The 25,702-nt window shown below is 43.3% G+C and overlaps 1 protein-coding gene across 3 annotated transcripts in view; it reads left to right on the top strand.

Moving 5' to 3' along the window:
• The window catches only part of CLNK (cytokine dependent hematopoietic cell linker), a 248,452-nt gene that overhangs the window by 127,734 nt on the left and 95,016 nt on the right, over nucleotides 1-25,702 (top strand). For all 3 annotated transcript variants that reach the window (XM_011513775.3, NM_052964.4, XM_017007684.2), the window contains exons 3-4: nucleotides 9,064-9,135; nucleotides 22,158-22,186. In XM_011513775.3, the coding sequence (XP_011512077.1) occupies nucleotides 9,064-9,135; nucleotides 22,158-22,186 (101 nt within the window). The remainder of the gene's footprint in view (nucleotides 1-9,063; nucleotides 9,136-22,157; nucleotides 22,187-25,702) is intronic.

Here is a 25,702-nt window from a genome sequence, read left to right as displayed (position 1 = left end):
CATCAACAGAGTCTGTTCATTGAAGTGACAGGTTTTGAACCAAGATATGTCTAACTATAGGACCCAAATGGCTAGAGCCCTGAACCATGGTTTTCTCATCTGTAACATCAGCACAATATGTGTATCTAATTTAAGAAGTTGTGACGATTAAATCAGCTCACCCAGGGCAGTACCCGCAACAACCTAGATGCTTACTACCTGTTAAAAACATTTTTTTTCTCCTGTATCTGTCAAGAAGCTGTTCCCAATGACTACAGCTTTATGATGTGTATTAGTCAGAGCTCTATAGAAAAACAGAATCAACTATGTGTGTGTGTATATATAGATATAGATATAGATATATAGATACAGTCATGCACCATATAACATTTAGGTGAATGATGGGCCTTCTATATGATGGTGACCCCATAAGATTATAATGGAGCTGCAAACTTCCTATCACCTAGTAATGCGGCAGCTGCTATAACATTGTAATGCAACACATTACTCACATGTTTGTGATGATGCTGGTGTAAACAAAACTGTGCTGCCAGCATATAAAAGCATATCACATACAATTACGTAAAGTACACAATACTTAGTAATAATAAATGACTATGTTACTGGTTTATATATTTACTAGACTATACTTTTTATTGTTATTTTAGAGTGTGCTCCTTTTACTTATATTAAAAAAAAAAAAGTTAACTGTAAAACAACCTCAGGCAGGTTCTTGAGGAGGGATTCCGGAAGAAGGCATTGATATCACAGGAAATGACAACTCCATGCGTGTCATTGCCCCTGACGACCTTCCAGTGGGACAAGGTGTTGGGGCGGCAGGTAGTGATGCCATTGACCCTGACCCTATGCAGGCCTAGGCTAAGGTGTGTGTTACTGTCTTAATTTTTTAACAAAAATGTTTAAAAAGTAATAAAAATTTTGAAAGTTTAAAATTAAATGTTTACAGAATAAGTATATAACAAGTATCTTCGTACAGCTATACAATGTGTTTTTGTTTTAAGTGTTATTACAAGAGTCAACATTTTTAAATTGAAATATTAATAACATAAAAAATTACAGTAAGCTAAGTTTAAAGAAAAGAATGTTTCTAAAATAAACATACAGAGTCTCCAAAGCCTACAGTAGTGTACAGTCATGTCCTAGGCCTTCACATTCACCCACCACTCACTCACTGACTCACCCAGAGCAAATTCCTGTCCTGCAAGCTTCATTCATGGTAAGTGCCTTATACAGGTATACCACTTCCTTTTCTTTTCTTTTCTTTTTTCTATTTTTTTTTTTTTTTTTGGACAGAGTCTTGCTCTGTCCCCAGGCTACAGTGCAGTGGTGTGATCTCAGCTCACTGCAACCTCTGCCTCCTGGCTTCAAGCGATTCTCCTGCCTCAGCCTCCCAAGTAGCTGAGACTACAGGTGTGCACCACCACGCCCAGCTAATTTTTGTATTTTTAGTAGAGACGGGGTTTTACCATGTTGGGCAGGATGGTCTCGATCTCCTGACCTTATGATCTACCCACCTTGGCCTCCCAAAGTGCTGCTGGGATTACAGGTGTGAGCCACCGTGCCCCACCCAGGTGTACCTTTTTTATCTTTTTTTAACTTATTTTTACTGTACCTTTCTATTTTTAGATATCTTTATATATACAAGTACCATTGTGTTACAATTGCCTACAGTATTCATTACAGTAACATGCTCTTTAGGTTTGTAGCCTAGGAGCAATAGGCTATACCGTATCACCTGGGTGTGTAGTAGGTTCCACCGTCTCGGTTTGTGTAAGTACACTCTACGATGTTCACACAAGGACACACTTCCCAGAACACATTCCCGTCATTAAGCGATGTGTCACTGTATATACATATGTATCCGTAGAGAGAGAGAGAGAAAGCAAGAGAGATTTATTTTAAGGAAATGTCTCACAAGCTTCTGGGAACTGGCAAGTTTGAAATCCGTAGGGCAGGCTGGCAGGCGAGAGATCCGGGTAAGAGTTGATGTTGTAGTCTTAAAACTAAATTCCACAGGGCAATAGGCTGGAAACTCAGGCAGGCTTTTTATGGTGCAGTCTTGAGGCATAATTTCTTCTTGTTCAGGAAACCCTAGTCTTTGTTATTAAGGCCTTCAGCTGATTGGATGAGGCCCACCCACATTATGAAGCATCATCTGCTTTAGTCAAAATCTACTGATTTAAATATTAATCACATCTAAGAAATAGCTTCACAGCAACGTCTACACTGGTGTTTGAACAAACAACTGGGCACCATAGCCTAGCCAAGTTGACTCACAAAATTAACCATCACACCATGAAACTGCAAAGGCAGTGAATAGGTGGGGAGTAGTGATTAAAACATCTCATTGCTGGAAATTCATTAGTGGACTTCCCTCTCAAGTTCCTATGTGAAGGGTTACAGCTCAAATTTTCAGGGGGCAGTCTCCTAATATAAAAATGTGAGATAATAGGGAATGAATGGTGGGGCTTGATGAACTTGAAAGAGTAGACCCCATACACACATATTTAAACTTAAAAAAAAAAAAAAAGCTGTGACAAGAAGCCTTTTTGTGCCCTTTACTTTTTCCAGGATGGGCAGATCAAGCACATGGATGTTGACTGGCATCTAGGCCATGGTGTATCATGACCCCAGAACCTTCCTTTAGTTGCTCAAGGAGAGTGCTAAAAATCTCCTCGGCTTAGAAGAAGCGTGTGCATGAATATGCAATTTGAAGGAAGTTTACACCTGGCACCCTTACAGCTTAGGGATCAAATGGAATGAACAAAATGGACATCGATCACTTGGCTACAGTTCTAGAACTGCAGCTTTGCCTCTTTGTAATTGAGTAAGCCACATTTCTGACCTGGCTGAAATATCTCAATTACCAATTGCCCTTCTTGATGCTACTGGTTGTTCAACTATGATATTCTTTCGTCATTTGGGGTAAGAATTGGGCCCTAGAGAATAAATATAATCACGAACATGCAATCAATGTATGAGGAAGGTGATATACCCCCTGCTATTCCCCATGTGCAAAATGGGAATGAGATTCATTGAATAGCTTGTTCAGTTGGCATAGCTGCATTCATATCCAGTCTACTCGCTCCCCGGGGACACCTGCCCTCAGGATAACTCCTGCCTTCAGCCCTTCCTTTCTCCTTCTTTCTGCTCCTTCTCATTCTCTTCTACTAAAAAATATAACCAAAGCCCATCTTGGCTTCTTTGGATCCTCAAACTCACTAAATAAAAGAGTCAGAATCCAAGATGATCTTGTACTACACTCTGTGAGTCTCCATCCAGGTCTCTCTCTTAACCTTTTTTGGGAATTGCCTTGGCTGAGCAGGATTGCCTCACCTGGAGCAGCCCACACCCACTGACTGGGCCACCCAGGAGTGCATAGACCTGGCCTTCCCACCCCAACATGGGATACTCAGAAGAGCCCTCATTCCCCGTGGGGGCCGCTGAGGCCTCTGTTGCAACTGCATCACAGCCCACTTTTCCCCCTGCCCAATTCTGCCTCTTTCTCTTCCCTCCACAGGGGTTGGTGCCAGGAGCACTCCCTAAAACACTTTCTACGTGGTCATCTCTGTCTCAGAGTCTGCTTCCTCAGGAGCCCAACCTGCGGCAGTTCCTGAGGAGATGGGACATGTGCTGAACATGAGGCAAAAAAAACTCAGCAGGATGAGGATAGAATAGGACTGGTCTCATAGGATTGTTAAGAGGATTAAATGGACTAATATGTTGTGAAATACAAACAATGACCAGTTAGGTGAAAATCTTATATAAATTTCTTGCAGTTCTGATTTTCATTATAATGATGGTGCTATACCTTATTATTATTATTCATGATGTTTGTGCCAAAAATCAAACTGTATAAGACCTTGAAAGAGAACTGTGGCTTAAGAGCAATTTTAGTGATTTCTCAGCAGCCTGCAAGCTCACTCTGAGTGTATAGAATGAGAAGGTTCTGGAAAAGTCAGAACTTAAGCTAAACTCCATTGAGAGAAGTGCAGTTTTACAACAGAAGAAATGGCAATTCTTTCTGTGCTAGTCAGACTGCACCAGTCACATTGGGTGTAGCCGGGAGCATCTCTCTGAAAAGGTGAGAAATTAGAGGGGAATAACTAAGATGGGATGGAGAAGATGTCTTTAACTCTCGGAGTAGGCTTCTTGTACTTACTCTCCACCGTCAACTTGCCATGTCATCCATCTGGCAAATTCAACCCCTCACTGGTTGTCACCACCTAGTGAAAGCCTTCCTTGACTATACCATCACTTAAATATTTGACCAGCTTCTTCCTCGTTTTTCTTCTAGACCATGTGTACATTTTTTATCATTGTGCCTATTGCATTGCCTGTGTTTGGATGGGAGTCTGATTCATTTTTTCGTCTCTTGGGACAGAAGAGATGTTTAGTGCATGTCTTTCCTGCGGCTGCCATAACAAATTGCCACAAACGTAAACGTACTGGCTGAATACAACAGAGATTTACTCTCACCGTTCTGGAGTCCAGAAGTCTGAAATCAAAGTTTAGCTAGGGCCGTGCTCCCTCCCAAGCCTCTAGGAGAGATTTCTTTCCTGCCTCTTCCAGCGTTTAGTGGCTCCAGGTGTTCCTTGATTTGTGACAACATCACTCCAATCTCCGCCATCTTCACATGGGTCTTTTCCACAGCCTCCTCATAGAAGAACACTTTAACCCAAGATTTAGAGCCCACTTTAACCCAAGATCATCTGATCTCAAGATCCTTAGCTTAGTTACATTGCTAAAGACGCTTTTTCCAAATAAGGTCACATGTACAGTTTTGGGGTAGACATACACCTTGGTACACGTCGTTAAACCCACAAATCAATTCAACTACACTGTATTGGCTGCTATTAGGTCTACATGAAAAATAATAAGGGTCTGCAGAAGACATTTTCACAGGGGAAATTAGATAGGGACAAGGCAAGGAAAATGTGAAGGAGGACTAGATGGGTATCATTGACTGGTCATGCAGGAGGGAGATGCGGAAAGTGAAAAGGAAATCAAAGATCAATGCAAAGTGTTGGACCTGAAGGTGCTGGAAGGGTGCTCAAGAAAACAGTCTGGAGTGTGTGGGGCGATGTGCTCTGTTTCAGCAGAAGATGAAGTGATTGCAAGAACAATTATTTGGTTGGCCCACTGATGTTCTGTACCTCAGTTTCCCTACAAGCCTATGGCACTTCCAGCTTTCCCAGGATGTGCTCAGTTCTTTGTGCAATCAATTAGCCTGTGTTGTTTCCCTGGAGGACACTTGGCCAGAGTCTGTGACAAGCAAATCGAGCAGCAGTTTAAAAAGCTTTTGTGATTCATTTCACTAGGTGGGTGGGATGGGCTGAGTGGACAGGAAAGGCAGCTGGCCCCAAATGTTTGAGGCCTTGTAAAATGATGTGCATCTACTTAGGAGACTAGTAAATGGCACTGTCCTCCCCAGGTGGGGTAGCCAACTTGGGAACCTTGAGCATCTCCTTTCGAGGTCAGATCTCAATTCAATGCAAAACAAACAATTTTGCCCTATTATGCTTAACATTCTTTAATAACATTTTCTGTGATGTGTTGAGAGTTTATAAATCTCCCAGCATTGTATATTTTTAAAAGTTTCTCTAAAATCTGAACACTTAGGATTCAGATTTAGGGCAGGGAGACCTGGTAATGCTTGTTGCTCTTTGTAAGTAATTTTCAAACAGGCTTTAACCACTTACTGTCTAGGTAGATGGCTCTTTATTTTCCAGCCTTGTTAATATTTTGCTTCAATAATCCACTGTAGAAAGAACACCTCCTCCTCCCCATTCTCCATTCTCCCCACCTGCTTTCCTTCTCGCTGGTGTGTCCCTTAGTTGCTTCCAGCTGGGCCTGCGCTGGCTTCCTCTGCAACATAGCTGACACACATTCTCCAGGAGACAGGCGAAGAGATGTGTAGCCCTGGTTCTACCCCCAACTAGCCTGGCCACCTGGAACTAAATGCTCTCCACTCTAGGGTCCCGTTTCCTCATCTGTAGCATGGAGTTGAGAAGAATGCCTGCCTATTCGCTACTGAGGGTTGCTACAAACATGAAATAAAAAGAGAGTTTGAGTCCAGCTCTCTTCTTAAAGTTAAAAAGGCCAAAGCTGATTATCTAGAAAGGTCAGAGGTAGCTCCCAGTCTGTTGGGTTCTCGAGGCACCCAGGAAGAAGTTAAGAAACTCTCAGACTCTATCCCATCCTCCTAAAATTGGCCTGGTTAAAGCCATTTAGGCAAATGCTACATGGGCTGTCAGAAAACAGAAAAGTTGCCAATAACCTAGAGACATGATGAAAGTGAGGGCTCCTACTCAGTGCAGGGATAGGCCAGAACTCCCCTGGTATCAGAGAGATTCAAAGGACTCTGTCCAGTTAACTACATGGCTCGCTATTGTGTATGAGCCCAGACTCACAAGTTATTTATGTATTTGCATCTAGGTATCTATTTATTATCTTACAAACATTCCTGCAAGCAGGCAGGGTCAGTTAGCCAGTGTTCTAGGAGAGAAAAAGATGCCCAGGCTACAATCTACCCTTGCAAGGCTCCAATGCAAGGGGATATGGACATGTACATGCATAATGAATGCATGTACAGGGCATTTAACAATATTATATTGTTTACTTGCTTATGGCCTGGCTCCCTAAATACACTAAAAACTCCAGGAAGCAGCCTTCATCTGTCCTTTAATTACTATACCCTATTACCTAGTGCGTTGCCTAGTATGGAATAAACCCAATAACTATTTGTTGAGTAAATGAATGATTAGACTCATGAACAAACGAAATGAATGGCCATAGAGAGGTATGCAAAAGTACCAGAGGGACTCAAAGCGGAAGCAGCAGGGAAGAGTTCACGGGGAAGTAATATTTGAAATTGACCTTGAAGAATGAAAAGCATTTTGCCAGGCCCAGAGGAGGCAAAAAGAATAATTAGATCAATGATATGGGAGCATTAAGAAAAAAAAAGGTCGGGCCCAGAGGCCACAGTGTGGGATGACTTGGCAGAGAGAGAGGGTAGCAGGAAATAAAGGAGCAACAGAAATGGGATTCAAAGCCACTGGGGCAGGAAACTTAGCTATCATGGTTAAGAGTTTGGGTTTTATCTTGCAGGAATAGAGAACTGATGAGGATTCTCAAGGAGGTGACTTGATAATATTCTGCTATTAATAATTACAAAGGTTCTTCTTGATCCAGTTTGGCGTATGGATTGGAACCCAGGAGGCCAGGAAAGCAGCTAGGGGTAGATGCTGGAGGTCAGCCTAGAGATACTGAAAGCAGAAGTAAGGCTGAATATATTAAATAGCTCATGAACACGACAAAGAAGAGACAGAGTCAGGAGGCATCTGGGGAATCTGACTGTTAGGATCTGTTAACAGATTCGGATGATGTCAATGATAGAGGGGGAGGGGTGGGAAGACTCAAGATTAGCACCCAGGCTACTGGTGTGGAAACCATGTGAGCAATGGAGCTTCTCGCTAGGAAAAAGGCCTGTGTCTGCTGGGAAATAACCAATTAGAAAGATCCAGAAAATAGTTCAGTGTTCATGCCTGGAACTTAGTAGAGAAGTCAGAATGCAGATGGAAATATGTGAATTAAGCTGTATTTGGATAGAAAAAAAACAATGAATAATGAAATATGTGAAATAGTACAATAATGAAATTTTAAAATAAAGAATGAAATTAATGATAATGAAATAAGCCATCATCTTTCTAGATGGTCAATTTACACAGTGACAAAATATACCCAAACAACTCGCAGATTTTTAAATTTATTATGTTCTATTCTATGGGCTACAGGCAAATCCCAGATGAAGAGAGAGCCTCAAGTCATCATAAAGTATTTCCTGGAGTTCTTTAGTTTTTTGTGTACATGTGTGAGTGTCCACTCAGCTCCTCGGTGGACCAGGCATTGACCCAGGCCCTGGGGATGCTAAGTCCTACAAATCTCTGCTCTAGTGGAGATGGAAGTTCAACAGTCAGATGTGAACACAAGTTACCAGTTAAAACAAAAGGAAAATTAAAACTCAGGCAAGTGCTGTGAAGGAGCGAGTCTGTGAGGCCGAGGAGGATTCTCTGAGGAAGTAGCACTTGAGCTGAGTTCGGAAGTAAGAGTTGTTGTTAATAAGAAGAAGGAAGACAAGGGCATCTGATAAAGAGGGAACGGTACCTGAAAGGGCCCCGTGGGAGGGAGCAGAGAAAGTCCAAGGACCAGAAAGAGGCAAATTTGCCCCAAGTGGAACTGGGAGGACAAAGAGGGTAGCTGAGCTAAGGAGGCAGTTGGTCAGGAGCATTTGTGGAGGAAAAAAATCACCAGTCAGTGTTTGATAGAGCTAATGAAATGCCTGCAAAAGAAAGGAAAATGTGGGAAACGTGGCTGATTAAATGAACTAGGAATGCATAACAATGATGCTTTATGACAGTGAATGTATTTAATGAATGTTAGCAAATTAACTCAATGAAAAATAAGTTAATCTCTTCATAGAAAGTGCCTTAGCAAAGTGCCTAAATGATATGGGAGCTCAATAAATATTACTTGAATCAGAGTGGCTGTTGCTAAATAGTCTGTCTTCCCACGTTGGATAATGTTTGCTAGATTTTTATGAAATTCAACCAACATAGGGAAGCATCTGAGACATTGCCTGGCTCACGGTTGCTGTCCCTCAAATTTCTTAACAGCCTCTCATCAACCATGTGGCAAAAGTATGATATTCTTCATTTTACAGAAGAGACAGATACTGGCAGAGCTTAAGGACGGTACCAAGGTCACCCTGTTGATGAGGGAGAGGCAGCCCACATCCTTGTCTTGAATGGGCATTTCTTCTGCCCCACACTACTGTTTCCTGTAAAATAAAGCTCTTACATTTAAAAAATTAAGAATTGGATTACTTTAAACACAAATTTTCTTTAACCCTAGTGGTAATGCAAAGAGAGATTCAGAATTATGTGTGAGACATAATTACTTAAATCTGACTGGGTGGCTCTTTCTATGAATGAATGCACTTAATTAATTTTTCCCCTAGCTTCTTGCTATTTCCCAGCTATAATTTATTTTCTTTCATCCCAGGGGCAATAGAAAGACAACTAAAGAAGGATCCAACGATTTGAAATTCCAGAACTTCAGTCTGCCAAAAAACAGGTCAGAATATTTACTTGTTTATTAATAGAGGAGTGAAAATTTTAATTCTGTAGCAAATAAGCTGACCATCACAAACACGAAAATTGTCAATGTGATGGAATGACCTGTAGTGACTTAGAGGTCAGACAGAGACCAAGGTGCAGGAGAAGGGGATTGGCTGGGGTTGAGCAGCCAGCAGGTGTGTGATACAAACCTAGGCTGAGAAGCCCCCACCTCCACAGCTCTGCAGGCCAGGCCTCTTTCCACCCACTCCTCCCAGGTCTCTAAACAACCCCAGAGAGAGCCAGTGATGGAGAGGCTTCTATTCCTCTGCCAATGAATGATTTGAATGATGGATCATGGATCCAGCCACGAGTTTACCTTGGAGCCTCACAGCAAGCAGACAAGAGAGAGCCAAGTGCTTACACTGTTATTTCCTTTGTCCTTCAATTGAGAATAACATTTGCTGAGTGGTTATGGTATCAAAACTTGCATAGACTACTGAAAATGCAGCAACAAAAGACAAAGTCTCTCCCTCAAGGAGCTCGCAGACTAGTCAAAAAGCTCAGAACTTGATCGAATCCTGTGCTAACTTGATCGAATTACTGACTAGAGACAAGACCTAAAGTCAAATCCAGCTCTACACTGCCCAGGGCTGCCCAGCCGACTAAACCTGGGCCACATCCTCATGCGCAGAACCGTCTCTCCCATGCTCAGGTGGGACTCCCTGGCCAAGCCTTCCTGGGGTGGCTTCTCTTCCTGGAGGCACCCAAGGGTCCTCACAAGTTCTATCAATCCTCGAATCCCAATTCAAGTCCATCCATCAAACATCCTTCAGTCCTTACTATGTGCCAGACACTATAAGCGGTCTTGGAATTCTAAAATGTGCCAGAATAAATAATTATCCTAAGCAGAGTGAATGAATGCTGGTAAGATGATAGAATACTTGAGGTGTTTTGCAAAACCACTTTGAGTAGAGGGAAATTTGTGGCTTTCTCAGACTTCTTTAATGTTTACACTAAATACATTTGAATAATGCATTTTAAGTCCATTTTCCTTATTTCTTGACAATAGCAAGAGATGGGAGATAGAAGGTTTAGAAGCCCTCTTTCAGATGGAGAGGGTTGAAGCAATTACATACATCAAAGTAATATTTACAGTTACATTTGGAGGAAAAAAGACAGACAGAGAAGAGCAGTGCTTTTTTCTGAAGCAAATTATTTCAGAATGTGTCATAGCATGCTCAAGATATATTAAAAAGAGCAACAGATGATGTTTTTGCAACCTGTTCCAAACTATTTATAAACCTAAATTTAAAAAAAAACATAGACATACAAATCTCTATACCACTGCATATTTTATAATGAATGCATTATATGAATATAAACTATTTGAGATATATAAATCAACTAAAAATGTCTGAAAACTACAAATTTGTGTCTACCATCTTCCTTTAACTATTAAACCAATGTATTTACTCCTGTAAAAATTATAATTATCAATATTTGATGATGATAAGATAAGGAAGAAGCTACTTATGGGCAGCATTGCAGTGTAGAATGAGTCCATTGAATCAGGATTTCAACCTCATCTGAGCTGCTTATTAGCCGTGTGGCCCCAGACAAGCCTCTTTTTCCATTCCAACACCTCCTGTGTTTTAGAAGTGATATTTGAAGCCAGATGTGGTGGCTTATGCCTGTAATCCCAGCACTTTGGGAGGCTGAGGCAGGCGGATCACCTGAGGTCAGGAGTTCGAGACCACCCTGACCAACATGGAGAAACCCCGTCTCTACTAAAAATACAAAAGTAGCCAGATGTGGTGGTGCATGCCTGTAATCCGAGCTACTTGGGAGGCTGAGGCAGGAGAATCACTTGAACCCGGGAGGCGGAGGTTGTGGTGAGTCAAGATAGAGACATTGCCCTCCAGCCTGGGCAACAAGAGCGAAACTCTGTCTCAAAAAGAAAAACAAATGGTATTTGAAAAAGTAGACTCTCATGTTCACTATTGAATCTCTTGAACCTTCCTGTGTCCGCAGAATAAATGGATGACCTCAGAGGTGTGCTGGGAATAGAGTAGGTTCTCATTAAATAATGTGGGCTAATAGTCACTGAGTGCTCACTATGTGCTAGGTGCTGTTCTAACAGCTAATAGGTAACCCTCACTGGATCCCAACAATTACACTCTTATTAGTCTCCTTTCTACAGGAAAGAAGAATGCAGCCCAGAGAGGGTGAATAACTTCCCTAGAGGCTCAGTGGCTAGTTGTGATATGGTAAATGGCAGCTGTAATTATTATTACTAATATCAACAACCCTGGTGCTCCCCATCACTGCCCTCATGCTAGGTTGAGTGTGGGAGTTAAGTCTCCTGCAGGCCCCCACAGCCCAACCACCCCAAGGTCAAAAGTGCCTTGATCTCCTGGTAATAAACAAAGTAAAACACCAAGCTGAGTGCTGGGCCCCACTTGGATGATACGGCCTGGGAGGATCTCCAAGTAAAATACAGATCACATCCATATTCATTAACCATGACCTGTCTGCAATATTGAGATGAATGTGTTTTATAACATCCTACTAAATCCGCAATACCCACTTTTATTTTGTACTGTTTCCTCATGTCTATAATGAAAGAAAAACACCAGCTGATATTTGTCAATTAAATCCGAATTCCACTCAATAACTGAGCACCCAATATGCACCAGAACCTTGGCATTCGGTCTTCACCATAATGCTTTGAAGTAGGCATTCGTATTCCCATTTACAGATAGGGAAAAATAGTCTGAGGGAGGTTATATCTTTTTGTCACAGTCCCAGTAGAAAGTGGTACCAGTTGGATTTGAATTCTGAGTCTAGCTTCAAGTCAAGTGGCATTTCTGGGTTTTTGTTTTGGTTTGGTTTGGTTTGGTTTGGTTTTTTTTGAGACGGGGTTTCACTCTTGTTGCCCAGGCTGGAGTGCAATCGCGCAATCTCCGCCTCCCAGGTTCAAACGATTCTCCTGCCTCAGCCCCCCAGCCAGTAGCTGGGATTACAGGCATGTGCCACCACATCCAGCTAATTTTGAATTTTTAGTAGAGATGGGGTTCCTCCAAGTTGGTCAGGCTGGTCTCGAACTCCCAACCTCAGGTGATCTGCCCGCCTTGGCCTCCCAAAGTGCTGGGATTACAGGTGTGGGCCATCATGCCTAGCTCTGGGTTCTAAGTGATCAAAAACTTTCTTATGTATATGTATATGTATGTATATGTATATTCTTATTTATAAGTATATGTCAGCATATACATATGAATGTAGATTTCTACTCTGATGAGTCACTAATCTGCTCCTGTCAAGTTTCCCCACCATGAGGAAGGAGCATGTGCCCAGCCCTTCTGGAAAGCACAGCCACATCTATAACAGTGAGGCCTGGTAGCTGTGGCTCCTAGAGCATGGGCCTGGGACCAGCAGCTTCAGCATCATCTGAGAACTTAGCAGTGCTGATTCCCAGATTCTGGCCAACTGCACCAGAAGGACACGTGCTGGAGCCCAGGCACCCATGTTGAAATAAGCCCTCCCTGTGGGTGCCAATGTTTGCTCAAGTTAGAGAACCTCGGATGGAAGCATGGTTACCAGGAGTGCAAGCTTCCAAGTGGAGGGAGAGGCCCCTGGGCTTGAATTCCACTCTGCCCCTACTCGCTAAGTGACAGTGAGTGGGGTGGAGGGAGGAAGATGGAAGGCAGAGGATGGGGGGAGATTGGAGAAATGGTGGGTGCAGGAGCTGTTTCCCCACTGGGGAAATGTCTGACCTCTTACATTAACCTCCTTAAGTTCTCTTTGTTGGGCACTGGAAAAATCAAAGATGAACGAGACATAGTCCTGGATACCTGCATGCTCAGTATCTGGTGGGAAGCAGAAGAGTGGGTGTGGAACTGCAAAGTATATACATAACAGATCATAAGCCTGTGTCATGCACCATGGCAGACACAGACGCAGGCCCTAGGGAACAGGAGGGACACAGGATCAACCAGGGAGCTGAAGGGCTTGCCAAGTCCTCTCTGTACTGAGCAGTGGCACCAAGATTCTAATCCACATCTTCACTTTCCAAGCACTAGTCTCCTTTCCATCCTTTACTCTTGACAGCGATGCTAGGAACAGTGTCACCACACTATCCACATTCAGACCCTTCCCATTCGTCACCTCATTGGCTATGGAGTTCTTCCTTTCTGCCACTAGCACCTGCAGCAATAGTTAGATCCAGGGGGACAAAGTGCAGGCAGCCATAATTTCTCAGGGCCCATGAGGCCCAGTCATCATCCTTTGGAGACGGGAGTCCTCTTTTTGTTTTTCTGGGTTGTTTTGTTTTGTTTTGTTTTCAGACTGAGTCTCATGCTACCACCCAGGGTGGAGTGCAGTGGTGCTATCTCAGCTCACTGCAACCTCCGCCTCTCAGGTTCAAGCAATTCTTGTGCCTCAGCCTCCTGAGTAGCTGGGATTACAGCTGCCTGCCACCACGCCCAGCAAGTTTTGTATTTTTAGTAGAGATGGGGTTTCGCCATATTAGCCAGGCTGGTCTCGAACTCCTGACCTCAAGTGATCCACCCACCTCAGCCTCCCAAAGACCTGGGATGACAGGCATGAGCCACCGTGCCCCGCCTGGAGTCCTCCTCTATTCCATGAATTAGGAGGCCCTCTACTGGGTCCCTTCAGTCAGGCAAGCCCAGGAACCTGCTGGCCATAACCGCTGCCCGCTCTCCTGACTGCTCTGGTCTGCCCCGCCTGCCCTGAGCCTCTGCAGCACTGAGAGAGCCATAAGGGTCACTTTTCTCACTGTGGCCCACCTCACCATGCAGAAGGCGGAGTGCCGCCCTGAAAGGTCTCACAAGCAAAGAGCTTTGTGACAGGTCCTAGGTTCTTTCACAGAGGATGCAGGGAAGAAAATGTGTTGTTCCACTGGCTTTCTGGGAGTTGTCCTCAAAGGGCTCCTACAGCGTAGATGCTCAGGCTGGGCACTGCGGCTCACACTTGTAATCCCAGCACTTTGGGAGGCTGAGATGGGTGGATCATTTGAGGTCAGGAGTTCCAGACCAGCCTGGCCAACATGGCAAAACCTGATCTCTACTAAAAAATACAAAAATTAGCCAGGCATGGTAGTGGGTGCCTGTAATCCAAGCTACAAGGGAGGCTGAGGCAGGAAAATCTCTTGAACTCGGGAGGTGGAGGTTGCAGTGAGCTGACATCACCTCACTGCACTCCAACCTGGGCGACAGAGTGAGACTCTGCCTCAAAAGAAACTAATAAATAAATAAATAAACAAACAAACAAACAAACAAACAACAAGTAGATGCTCAAGAAACATTGGCTGATGGGGGAGTAGGAAGAAGGAAGAATCAAGGCAGAACCCTAGGTTCTTATGTTGTGGATAACCCTAGGATGCTGTTGATCTGTAGTATACCGAGAGCCTCCTATGATGCCTGGCACTTACTAGATACTTAAATAGACGTGAAAAAGAAACTTCAATAGGGAGAGAAGGATGGAGAAAGGAGGAAGAAGACAGAGACCAAGTGGGGAAGTGGGGGAGGCTCAGAGAGTGGATGAAGGGATTTCAGGAGTGGCTCTGCCCGCTAGAGGAATGTCTGAGCTAAAACATGTCTGGCAAATCATCCTGCTACTCTACTTGTCTGCTGCAGAACCCATCAGAGTGTCAAATATTTTTGTTTTTGTTTTTTAATATGTATTGGGAGCACTGATTGATAGCTTATAGGAACAGGACTATAGCTTATATAGACATGTTTTCTGCCCTCAAAGAACTTAAAGTCTAATTGAGGAAAGGAAAAAAACTCAAGTAAGGTTTTACAATATGAGATTTAAATAATAAATGAATAATTATATGTCATCGTCCAGATTTACTAAATGCATGATTCGAGTAAGAAGTGCCACAGGTTCTCAGAGGAGGGAGGAGACCAGACAGGCCCCGGCAGGGCAGGGTCTGAGGAGGTGGGAGCCTCACTCGGCCAAGAGGGTCTTGGGTGTATGAGCTTGATGAGAGTTGTGAGTGGCACTAAACACTTCCAGTGTTTTTCCCAGGTCCCCTTCAGGGAATTACATGCCCCAAATATTTCTTATACAAATAAAATAGGTAAGAGGAGAATTCTTGAAACCAATAGGGAATGCCTTCTAGAAAGAATGAACCCATGGATTCACTTATTTAAAATGAGCCTTGGCCTGATTCCACCTCAGAGTGAATTTCATCTGGATTGAGAGAGGCTCTCCAATCTCTAATCTTGAAAATGTACAACCGATTCCAGGGGAATTTAAGTGGCACTTGTGCACACACGTGGAGTAGTTTCCTACTACGTGCCAGGCACTCCATTGGCCTTGCTCGGATAGGACAGGTCCAGGTATAGACCCAGACATGATCTGCAGTGTATCTCTGGCCCGTCTCACTTTGGGATGCCCTCTTTTGTATATTTCCCTCTGCATGTGCCTGTGGCATTCATTCACTCACACATTCACTCACTCTTACCCATTCAGCACCACATTGGTGTGCACATGCTCCAGGCACTGTGTTAGGCACCAGACCTCCCATTTAGGAGCTAGAGGTTCAGGGTAGGCAGTCTGAGAATTCCAGTTGCATTCTGTTCTAGTTATGTCAGTGTGAGTTCCATTACATAGGTACCAAGAATATGCCCAAATAAGGAGAAGAGGGCATTGGTGGCCACATGGGAAACAAGATAAACGGTCTGTCCAGGCCATCATACCTATTCCCTAGAATATTACAGAGTCCACTCCTCTCTCAAATCAATGCTGTGTGTTCCTACGTTACCTCTGTGAGACACAGTTCTAAGCATCCTTTACTCTTGCAAACCTCCACACGACCTCTAGGATGACACAGGCTTTGCTCATTCATCCCTCCAGATTCCCTACTGTCTGAGCACACTGTGCATTTCCAAACCATAGTCCCCACAGCTCCATGGTGCAAACGCTCCACCTTTGAGTGGTGGAGAGATGTGTCATCAGACAGACTCGGTGGCACTCCCAAGAGGGCTAACCTCAGCTAATCCATCTGCAAAATTAAAGGGTTCGTTTATGGTGTTTAATGTCCCTTTTGGCACTAGTGATATTTTACAATGGCCCTAAAATTGAGATAAAGATGCTTTCCACCAAGAATTGCTATGAGGTTTGAGTGAAATCATTTTTGTACAGTGCTCAGTTCCAGATGCAGTGCAGACGTTCAACTAGAGGAAAGAAGGTGATGAATGCAGAAACTTTCCATCCTTCCTTGTTTTTATCTAGATTATATTTAAAATGAGTAACTCTTAGAAGTACAAATTGTCTTTCAAAAATCAGAGAATCTTATTCTAGAGTAGCCTTCTAATGTCAGGGGGTGAACTTAAAATGAGATGTGGAGCTGGGCCAGTTAATTTCAGAGGTTTGAGAGAGAGAGAAGGCTGGCAGTGTGAAATCACCCTGATCTTTTCCCAGGGGTTTCGCTGCTGAATTCTGGACTAACAGTCGGTGCCTGGGGAGAACCAAAGGACTGCATACCACACTCAAGGGGGCAAAGAAAGATTCATCTCCATGCCAGGAGCTTGACCCTGGAGACAGAACCAAATCCCTCTCTATGGGACTGGAATAACACACCATCCAAACTCTGTTCCCATGGATAAGTAGAAGGCAAGCATGCCCTGTCTACTTCATCAAAGCCAGTTCTGCTGGGCAGCAGGAGAGAGAAGTGGAAGAGGGGGCGGAGTTTACTTTAGTAGCCTTTAAAAATTAAAGATTATTAGATGTATTAAATTATTCAAAAGTATTACAAATTAAAAATAATTCAGAATTAAAAATCTGTATTTGTAATGAGCTTTAAATATTAAAAACCACAGACCTCCAAATGTCAGCCTTGTTCATTTCCTGTGCCATGCACTTTCTTGCCACAGTGTTGACACCGGCTTATATACACCGGAAATAGAGAGGAAGGAAAAATTGCTTTCTTTAGGCCCAAATGTGGAGGGGAGCAGAGATAGGGAAGGCAGAAGGGTGGCTGCCAAGTTATAACACCATCCAGCTGTGGCCCGCTTGCACGTGGCCATGTTATGGATGCTGTTGACAAAAGGCAGCCAGGGTGCATCCTTGTAATTCCCTGGCAAGAGGCAGCTTGCTAATACATGGGCCTTGCTTGAGCACAGATAGAGTACATCAAATCTCCACGAAGTTTGCTAGCAGTTCCTTTCATTAATCACCCTGGGCTGTCAAGTTGCAGAGTGTTAACACAGGAGTCCTTTCAGATACCTCATCCATTGCTTGTGTCAAGACAATGTCCACAATCCATCTAGACCAAACTATGGTGTTCGGACCACCTCTCCTGATCCCCTCCCTCCCAGACCCTAGGCGGCTGGTCCCAGCCTTCCTCTTTTCCCTCCCTGCTTTGTTTCTGCAGCTCTCTGGCTCACAGCAGCAGGCTCAGCTGGAATAACAACACCATTCCCTGTTTTGCTGATGCTTCCTCTGCTAATTCACTTGGCTTGCATTGACGCACGGAGAGCCCCAGGGTGCATAATCCCGGAGGATGTGACATATGAATGAGCACCATTACTCTGGGGCCCCACTGAGAGGTAGACTGGATCAGATAAGCCACTTTCAGACAAATTTGACAATTGGGAGGAAGCTCCCAGACAAGAGAACTCTGCGGTCTACGTTGCTGCTATAGGCTTGTAAATAAGAAGGGATTTGGAGGGACTCGGACAAATCCCAGCCCTGCCAATTGCTTCTGCCACTTCAGGCAAGTTACTGAACTCATCTAAGTTGTAGTTGCAATCTGCAAAGTGGAGCTGGAAATGCCTAACGGCCTAAGTCTATGCCTTCAATGTACCCATCACCTCCAAAAGTTTCCTCCCACCCTCTTTACTTATTATTATGATTAAGTGTGTATACTTCAAGAACAATTAATATAAGATTTACTCTCTTAGCAAAAATTCAATTATATGATATAGTACCGTTAGGTGTAGGCACTATGCTGTCCAGTATATCTTGAGGACTTATTTATCTTGTCTAACCAAAGCTTTGTACCCTTTGACTGATATCTCCTCATTTTCTCCTCCACCCAGCCCTTGGCAACCCACCCTTCCACTCTATAGGTTTGACTATTTTAGACGTATAATACATTGTATGTAGTATATACAATATAGTATATACCATATAATATATAGACTATTTTAGATATATAATATAGATGTATATTTGCCTCTATGAGTTTGACTATTTTAGATGTATCATAAAAGTAGTATCATGTAATACTTGTCCATTCACAAGTATATACTTATATCCAACCTCATCAAGTTGTAAACATTAACTATGTACAGCTTTTTGTAAGTTAAAAAAGTAAATAGGAACATTCTAAAAATTGTGAAAATGAATGTAAATGGGTTGAACAGACAACAACAACAACAAAATGTCTACCAGCCAGAGTTGAACCTATCTTAGTGCCCAAACAGGTGCTCACGAATACGAGTTATTTTATTTTCTGTTTGGTGCTACTCTTTTTAGATGTCAGAAGACTTCAGTTCTGCCTCCAAGTGTCTGAGACTGGGAACAACCCGCTAGCCACTCTAGGCCCCAGTTCTCCCATTTAAAAAACTAACGAACTGGACATTATCTCCAACATGCTTTTTAGCACTAGTTTGTCTTTGATTCTAAAATCCAGATAAGGTCAGGCTAAAATCCAGATAAGGTCAGGGTTAGAAGATAACAAGAACCCTAATTTAGAAGTCAAAGTTCCTTCTGGAATCTCAGGAACGGTTTGCCTTTTCTTCAAAATTCCCGAGCTCAGATTTGCATGCCGCCTGCGTTGGATGCTCTGCCTTTGATCAATGGGATGGCTTGCCACGCTTACATTAAGCTCACTGTACACAATCACAAAAACATATCATTTCCACTTCCCATGTCATGAGTTGCAAGTCCTGGGAGCCTTTTGAGGCCTTAATCAAAGACCAAGACATCAGAGAAGAGGCCATATGTCTAAAGTGTCAAGAGAGAGCACTCAGGCCGTCGATAAATGATTTGCTCCTCACCAGCTGATTTACTGCTAATTTCTGCAGAACCTCCGGCAGCTTGAAAGGGCGCCAACTGTTAACCACAAGGGCTCTGAGGTCGCAGCTGCACGGTGCCTCCTAAGCAGGACTTGCCATTTCCTATAGGCCTGGGGTAGGGGAGACAGTAGGGACCGGGGAGGCAGATAGGCTGGTGTCAAATCCCTCACTCTTAGAGGCTCTGTGGATTGGGCAAGTTGTAGAGCCCTCTGAATACCCTATTTCCTATTCTGTAAAGTTGAGGCGATAACAGCGAGCCCACAGGTTATTTCATTTGGGGTTTAAAATGGTGAACAGAAGGCAGTAAGTTACGCTGAAGTCAGACTCAACTTGTAGACCGTGGTCTCCTGGTTACAAACATCTTACTGCTTCACTGTTCTGTGCCCAACGTCCCAGACACCGAAGAGACCTCATAAATATTTACACCTGGCGTGTGTTGCGATGTTCAATTAATTGCTCCTGTGACGCACGTTGAGTGCCTTGGAGGAAAGGTGTAATGCAGAGGCCTGGGATTATTAAAGGCACAAACAAGTAAGCTCACCGAAGTAGCATCCTCGGGAGCCTTCCACTGCCTCGGGGCTTTTCAAAGCATGGCCCAAAACCTAGGGAAAAAGTGTTTCCAAAGGGATCCCATCCAATGGTTGGATTGTGGCTGTGCAAAGACCTTGTCAGAAAATGAGGCCAGGCACAGTGGCTCACACCTGTAATCCCAGCACTTTGGGAGGCTGAGGCGGGTGGATCACCTGAGGTCAGGAGTTTGAGACCAGCCTGGCCAACATGGTGAAACCTCATCTCTACTACAAATACAAAAAATTAGCCCAGTGTGGTGGCGCATGCCTGTAGTCCCAGTTACTTGTGAGGCTGAGGCCGGAGAATGGCTTGAACGTGGGAGGCGGAGGTTGCAGTGAGCCAAGATTCCAAGATTGCACCATTGCCCTCCAGCCTGGGCAACAGAGTGAGACTCTGTCTCAAAAAAAAAAAGAAAAAAAATGGGCAAAGACATGTACAGATAACTTACGAAAGAAGACACATAAATGGCCCAAAACCTTTTGGGAAAAAAGAAATTCAATCTCACTAGTCATCAAGGAAGTGAAATGGGTAAAATGCGGAATCAAGTGCCATGTAGGCAAACTGGTTATAAGGTATGGATTTAATGGTGGTGAGATACAGTGAGACGAGCACTTCACATTCCATGCATAAGAATATCAATTAATATAAATTGGTGCAGCTCATCCAGAAAGCTACTGAGTAATATGCAACAAAGGGCCCAGAGTGTTCACATTATTTGACCCCTTCATTGTGCTTGATAACATCTCTATATAGAAAGATTCAAGCTGGGCGTGGTGGCTCAAGCCTGTAATCCCAGCACTGTGGGAGGCCGAGGTGGGTGGATCATGAGGTCAAGAGATCGAGACCATCCTGGCCAACATGGTGAAACCCCGTCTCTACTAAAAATACAAAAATTAGCCAGGCGTGGTGGCACGTGCCTGTAATCCCAGTTACTCAGGAGGCTGAGGCAGGAGAATTGCTTGAACCTGGGAGGAGAGATCGTACCACTGCACTCCAGCCTGGTGACAGAGACTCTGTCTCAAAAAAAAAAAAAAAAAAGAAAAAAAAAGAAAGATTCAGAGATGAGGTTTAAAATGATAAATACACACAGCAGCAGCATTTTACATAGTTAGGACTAGCAAAAACCTAAATGCCCCTTCAAAATATCATGTAGATCAGGGGTCCCCAACACCCAGGCCACGAACCAGTACTGGTCTGTGGTGTGTTAGGAACTGGGCACAGCAGGAGGTGGGCAGTGGACAAGCAAGCATTATCGCCTAAGCTTTGTCTCCTGTCGGAGCAGCAGCAGCATTAGATTCTCATAGGAGCACAAACCCTACCGTGAACCGTGCATGAGAGTGATCTAGGTTCACGCTCTTTGTGAGACTCCTACCAACGCATGATGATCTGAGGTAGAACAATTTCTTCCCTTCATCCCGAAACCATCCCCCACCCCCATCTGTGGAAATACCAGGAAACTGGTCCCTGATGCCAAAATGGTTGAGGACCACTGAGGTAGATAATCAATACTTTGTTTTTGAATAACATTTGAAGATATAGAATATATTTGTAACATCAAAATCCTACACGTTATTTGATATTATTATTTTTTCAAGAGATCTTGCTATGTTGCCCAGGTTGGACGTGAACTCCTGGGCTCAAGTGATCATCCCACCCCAGCCACCTGAGGAGTTGGGACTACAGGTGTGTGCCACCATGCTGGGCTCTTTTATATTTATACTGATAAAAGAAAAACTTCAGCTGAATGAAATTTAAAGGAGCTTAATTGGCCAATGAATGGTTTGAGAATCAGGTGGCCTTCCCAGCCAGAGGAGGCTGAGACTCCGGTGCAGCCACGTGGTGAAAGAAGGTTTATGGACAGAAAAAGGAAAGTGATATATAGAAAATGGAAGTGAGGTACAGAAACAGCTGGATTGGTTACAGCTCGGCGTTTGCCTGATTTGAACACAGTTCGAACAGTTGGCTACATTTGATTGGCCAAAACTCGGTGATTGCCACAACTATAGGCTACCATCTGTTTATAGTTCATGATGTATAGAGAAACCTTTAGGCAGAACTTAAAATATGTAAGGAGGCAGCTTTAGGCTAAGCTTGATTTAACACTACCTATATGTGTTTAAATGTATGCATACATCTTCAGGTACGTATACAGCTATTTACATGAGAATAACCAACATATAACCTGTGGTGTCAATTTTTATTTTCTTCTACATGCTATTTTCCAGAAAATAGAAATATGTACAATATTTCTATATATAATAGAATAATATGTGACTTCAGGTCTACAATAGTACATACATAAAGCAGCTTCAGAGGCTGACTTGTACAATGACGTTTGATGACTGCCTGTTCCTATGTGGCGGGGGGTCGGTGGAGGTGGAGCAATGGACATTTAACTTGGTTCTCTTTTCTGCCCTAGGTCATGGCCTCGCATCAATAGTGCCACAGGTGAGTCGGGGCTCTCTGTCACCTAAGTGGTGGGAATGTCAGCATGGGTCTGTTGGGCTGTTATTTCCATTCTTTTTTGTTTTTATTTCAATAAAACTATGGCCTATTTGAAATGACATTAGCTAGTAATGCCATTCCTTCCAGTTGCCCCAGGGTACAGCCTGATCTGTGACTGTCCAAAGCTTTGGAGGCTGGGTGGCTGGATGGGAATCCTGGCTCTCTACTTAGCTGTGCAGCTTTGCATGAAGCACAGATCTTTCTGAGCCTGAGTTCCTTCATCTGTGCAATGGGTATAAGTCTACCTCAGTGCCAGTCTTATGGTGACTCACTAGTATTCACTCAACTAAATTCCATATAATTGGTTACCCCCAAAACATGAGTGGAAAGAATGAATGGTTCAAAAGCCACCTTTGATGCCTCTCCTGTATCTCTCTTCATAGCCTATTTTCTGGTACTACGCACTTAACAGGAGCCCATTAAAGTTTGAGAAAAAGCATGTAGTATTCACTGGGGAGGGTTATTATTTCAGGGAAAGTCCCACAGAACTTCCCTAGAAAGCTGGTGTCTAGATAGAATGACTGGAATGAGGCAGAAAAATGGAGACATTGTCCAGAGGAAACACCAAAGAAGCGATGGAGTCATAAGGAGTTATGTAATCAGCAAAGGCATTTGAAAGTTTCACTATAGAGCATGTGGGAGTACAAAACCAGCACTCAGCATGTCCCACCCAGCAGCTGGGAGAACTGGGCAAAAGCAAAAGTGAAAGTGGGAAATACGAGTTCACACAGGGAGAGAGCACCCAGCCTTAATCCCTCTACAGAAAAAGTTTTCATTCAACTTCCCAGTCAGGCCTAAACAAGATTGTCTTCTCTCAAGGTAGATGATACCAAATTGTGTTGGGGTCTTTAGTATCAAATGCACCTCTCCACCTACCTGCACCTCTCACCCCTCCCATCCTGCACTGGCATCCTGGAGGGAAGAGAATATTCTAAGGGGGTGGTACCTGGGAATGAAGTGGCTTGTCTGATGTGCTTGGTGACCGGTGAATCATAAAGCACACAGGTAAAATACAGCAGCCAGCTCCAACTACCTGTATCCTCTTCCTCCCATCTTGCTCCCCACCTTGGTTAAGGCACAGAGAAATGGGCAGATGGGCACTCCGTTTCCTTGACAGCAATCTAGAGACACCAGCAGGAAAAAGAAAACAAATCGAAACCCCACAAAAGTCCATTGATATAAAGTCGCCCAGGCCTGCTCATACACACTCGAACCTACACCTTACCGGAAAGAAACACTTAGCAGCAAATTATGACATTCCCAGTCTGTTCAAAATAACAGCCCAGACCAGGCACGGTGACTCACACCTGTAGTCCCAGCACTTTGGGAGGCCAAAGCAGGCGGATCACAAGGTCAGGAGTTTGAGACAAGCCTGGCCAATATGGTGAAACACTATCTCTACTAAAAATACTAAAATTATCTGGGCATGATGGTGGGCACCTGTAGTCCCAGCTACTTGGGAGGCTGAGGCAGGACAGTCACTTGAACCCGGGAGATGGAGGTTGCAGGGAGCCCAGATCACCCCACTGCACTCCAGCCTGGGCGCTGTGGACGACAGAGCAAGACTCCGTCTCAAAAAAGAAAAAAAAAGAGAGAGAGAGAAAGAAATAACAGCCCAGCAGACCTATGCATACTTATGAATCAGCCTAGGCATACTTATGAACCACTACAAATGTCTACCAAAGAATAGCAGACCTGATCTAATTAAGATATGCATGAGGATTTACAAAAAAGACTGTGCGTGACGGTGGCTTGATAACATTCCCAGATCCTTCAAGTTGTTTCTGATTTTTGACGATGGGATCATTTGAAAACAGGAGAGGGCGTTCATGCGAGAAAATACTAGGAAGCCATTAAAATGATGATGTTGAAGCACATTCATTGCCATGGATATGTTGATAGCATGTGATTTTGTGAAAAAGCAGGTAAAAAATAGGGTACAAGGAGTGATTGTATATTTATAAGCTATATATCTATGATGTGAGGTGTGTGTGATTGTGTGTGTGTCTGTGTATGTGTATGAGTGACTTGACTATAATCAAATATTTGTATATTTGGATTATTTGTGGTAACAGTATAGTAATTTTTATTTCCTTCTTTTTTGCATATCTGTGTCTTATAACTTTCTACAGTAGCATATGATTTTGTATACTAAAAACAATCTATCGAAAAATATTCTTTAGAAAACCATTCCAAGCCTGGAGAAGACAGACACATGTTCCAACTGGGACAGTCTGTCAAGGTCAATACCTTCTCGGAGGCTGATACACAGAGAACAGTGCAATGCTTTCCATAAAATAAACTCATGAGTTTTTCTCCTTCCCCTAAATAAAGAATGAAACTGGAAAAGATGGCCCTATTTAGAAAGTGGGTCCTTCTGTCTTAAGCCTCCACGTATAATAAAAACATTGATGAAGATAGATATTAGCTGATTTGATTTAAAAGACAAGAAATTTCATCTTGTCAGGGAAAATACTACTTTTAAGTTTTTCTAAGGAAAGCAGTCTTCAAGGTTGATTTTTCCTACTTGTAAAAGAAAAATTAATAAGGATTTTAGGACAAGAGGGAGACAGGCAGGTATAGAATATGTGAGCATCCAATGCCTCCTGCTGGCTGTTTCCAGATGCTGCAATGCCTGTATTAATTTAGCAGAGGCTGGATCCTCCTGGTTCTCTCCCCAGGGTGTTGGGAATATTCGTGAACAGAAACAAATAAAAAAATTGATAGTTGAATCTCTGGGACAAGCCAGGATTTCAGATCATCCCAAGATTGGTAAACTCAAGGATTAACATTGTCTTCAAAATTCAATTACAATAGTTAAAAATCACAACAGTTGAAAATGAATATTTTCTAGCCCATGTTAGGGTTTACGCTCTTTGGCAGGCATATGGTAAGGCCAGGGAATCCCTACTTTTAACAAGATAATTCCAATTCAAGTAGTTCTGGGCCATTCTTTAGACTTGCTGACCAAGGGTTAAAAAGAGAGAGAGAGAAGAAAACTATCCAGACTGTTCCCACCAAGAAGCTGTTCTCTATTCTCTAGATAACAAATGTCTCTATTATTTCATTTGCATTTCTAAGGGCAATCAAGGAATGAGGTGGGAGGCAGCTGCCTTCCCTATCACCATTCACCCACTCACCCATCCATTCATTCAACCAATTTGTGGTAGCTCCATATAACCAGCTTTAGGCACAGATTTAAAAAAAAAAAAAATTAAAGGTCCTGGGGACTCGGGTAGTCTGAGATTGTATTACTATATTTTACATATGAGGAAATTAAGAACTAGAGAACAGAAGTAAACTTCCAAGGGCCACCTACTTAGAACATTATGCCTGTTCTTCAACCCCCTGTTAAGTGTTTCCTGTGTAGCTGTTTCTGTGAGTTTGGACTATCTGTGGCTTCGAATTATTAGCTCATAATCTTCAGATCAAAGAACTGTTGTCCAGTGAATAAACTGA

The sequence above is a fragment of the Homo sapiens genome, chromosome 4 (genome assembly GCF_000001405.40).
Source record: "Homo sapiens chromosome 4, GRCh38.p14 Primary Assembly".
Lineage (NCBI taxonomy): Eukaryota > Metazoa > Chordata > Mammalia > Primates > Hominidae > Homo > Homo sapiens.
This window is presented reverse-complemented; position numbering and strand designations above follow the sequence as displayed.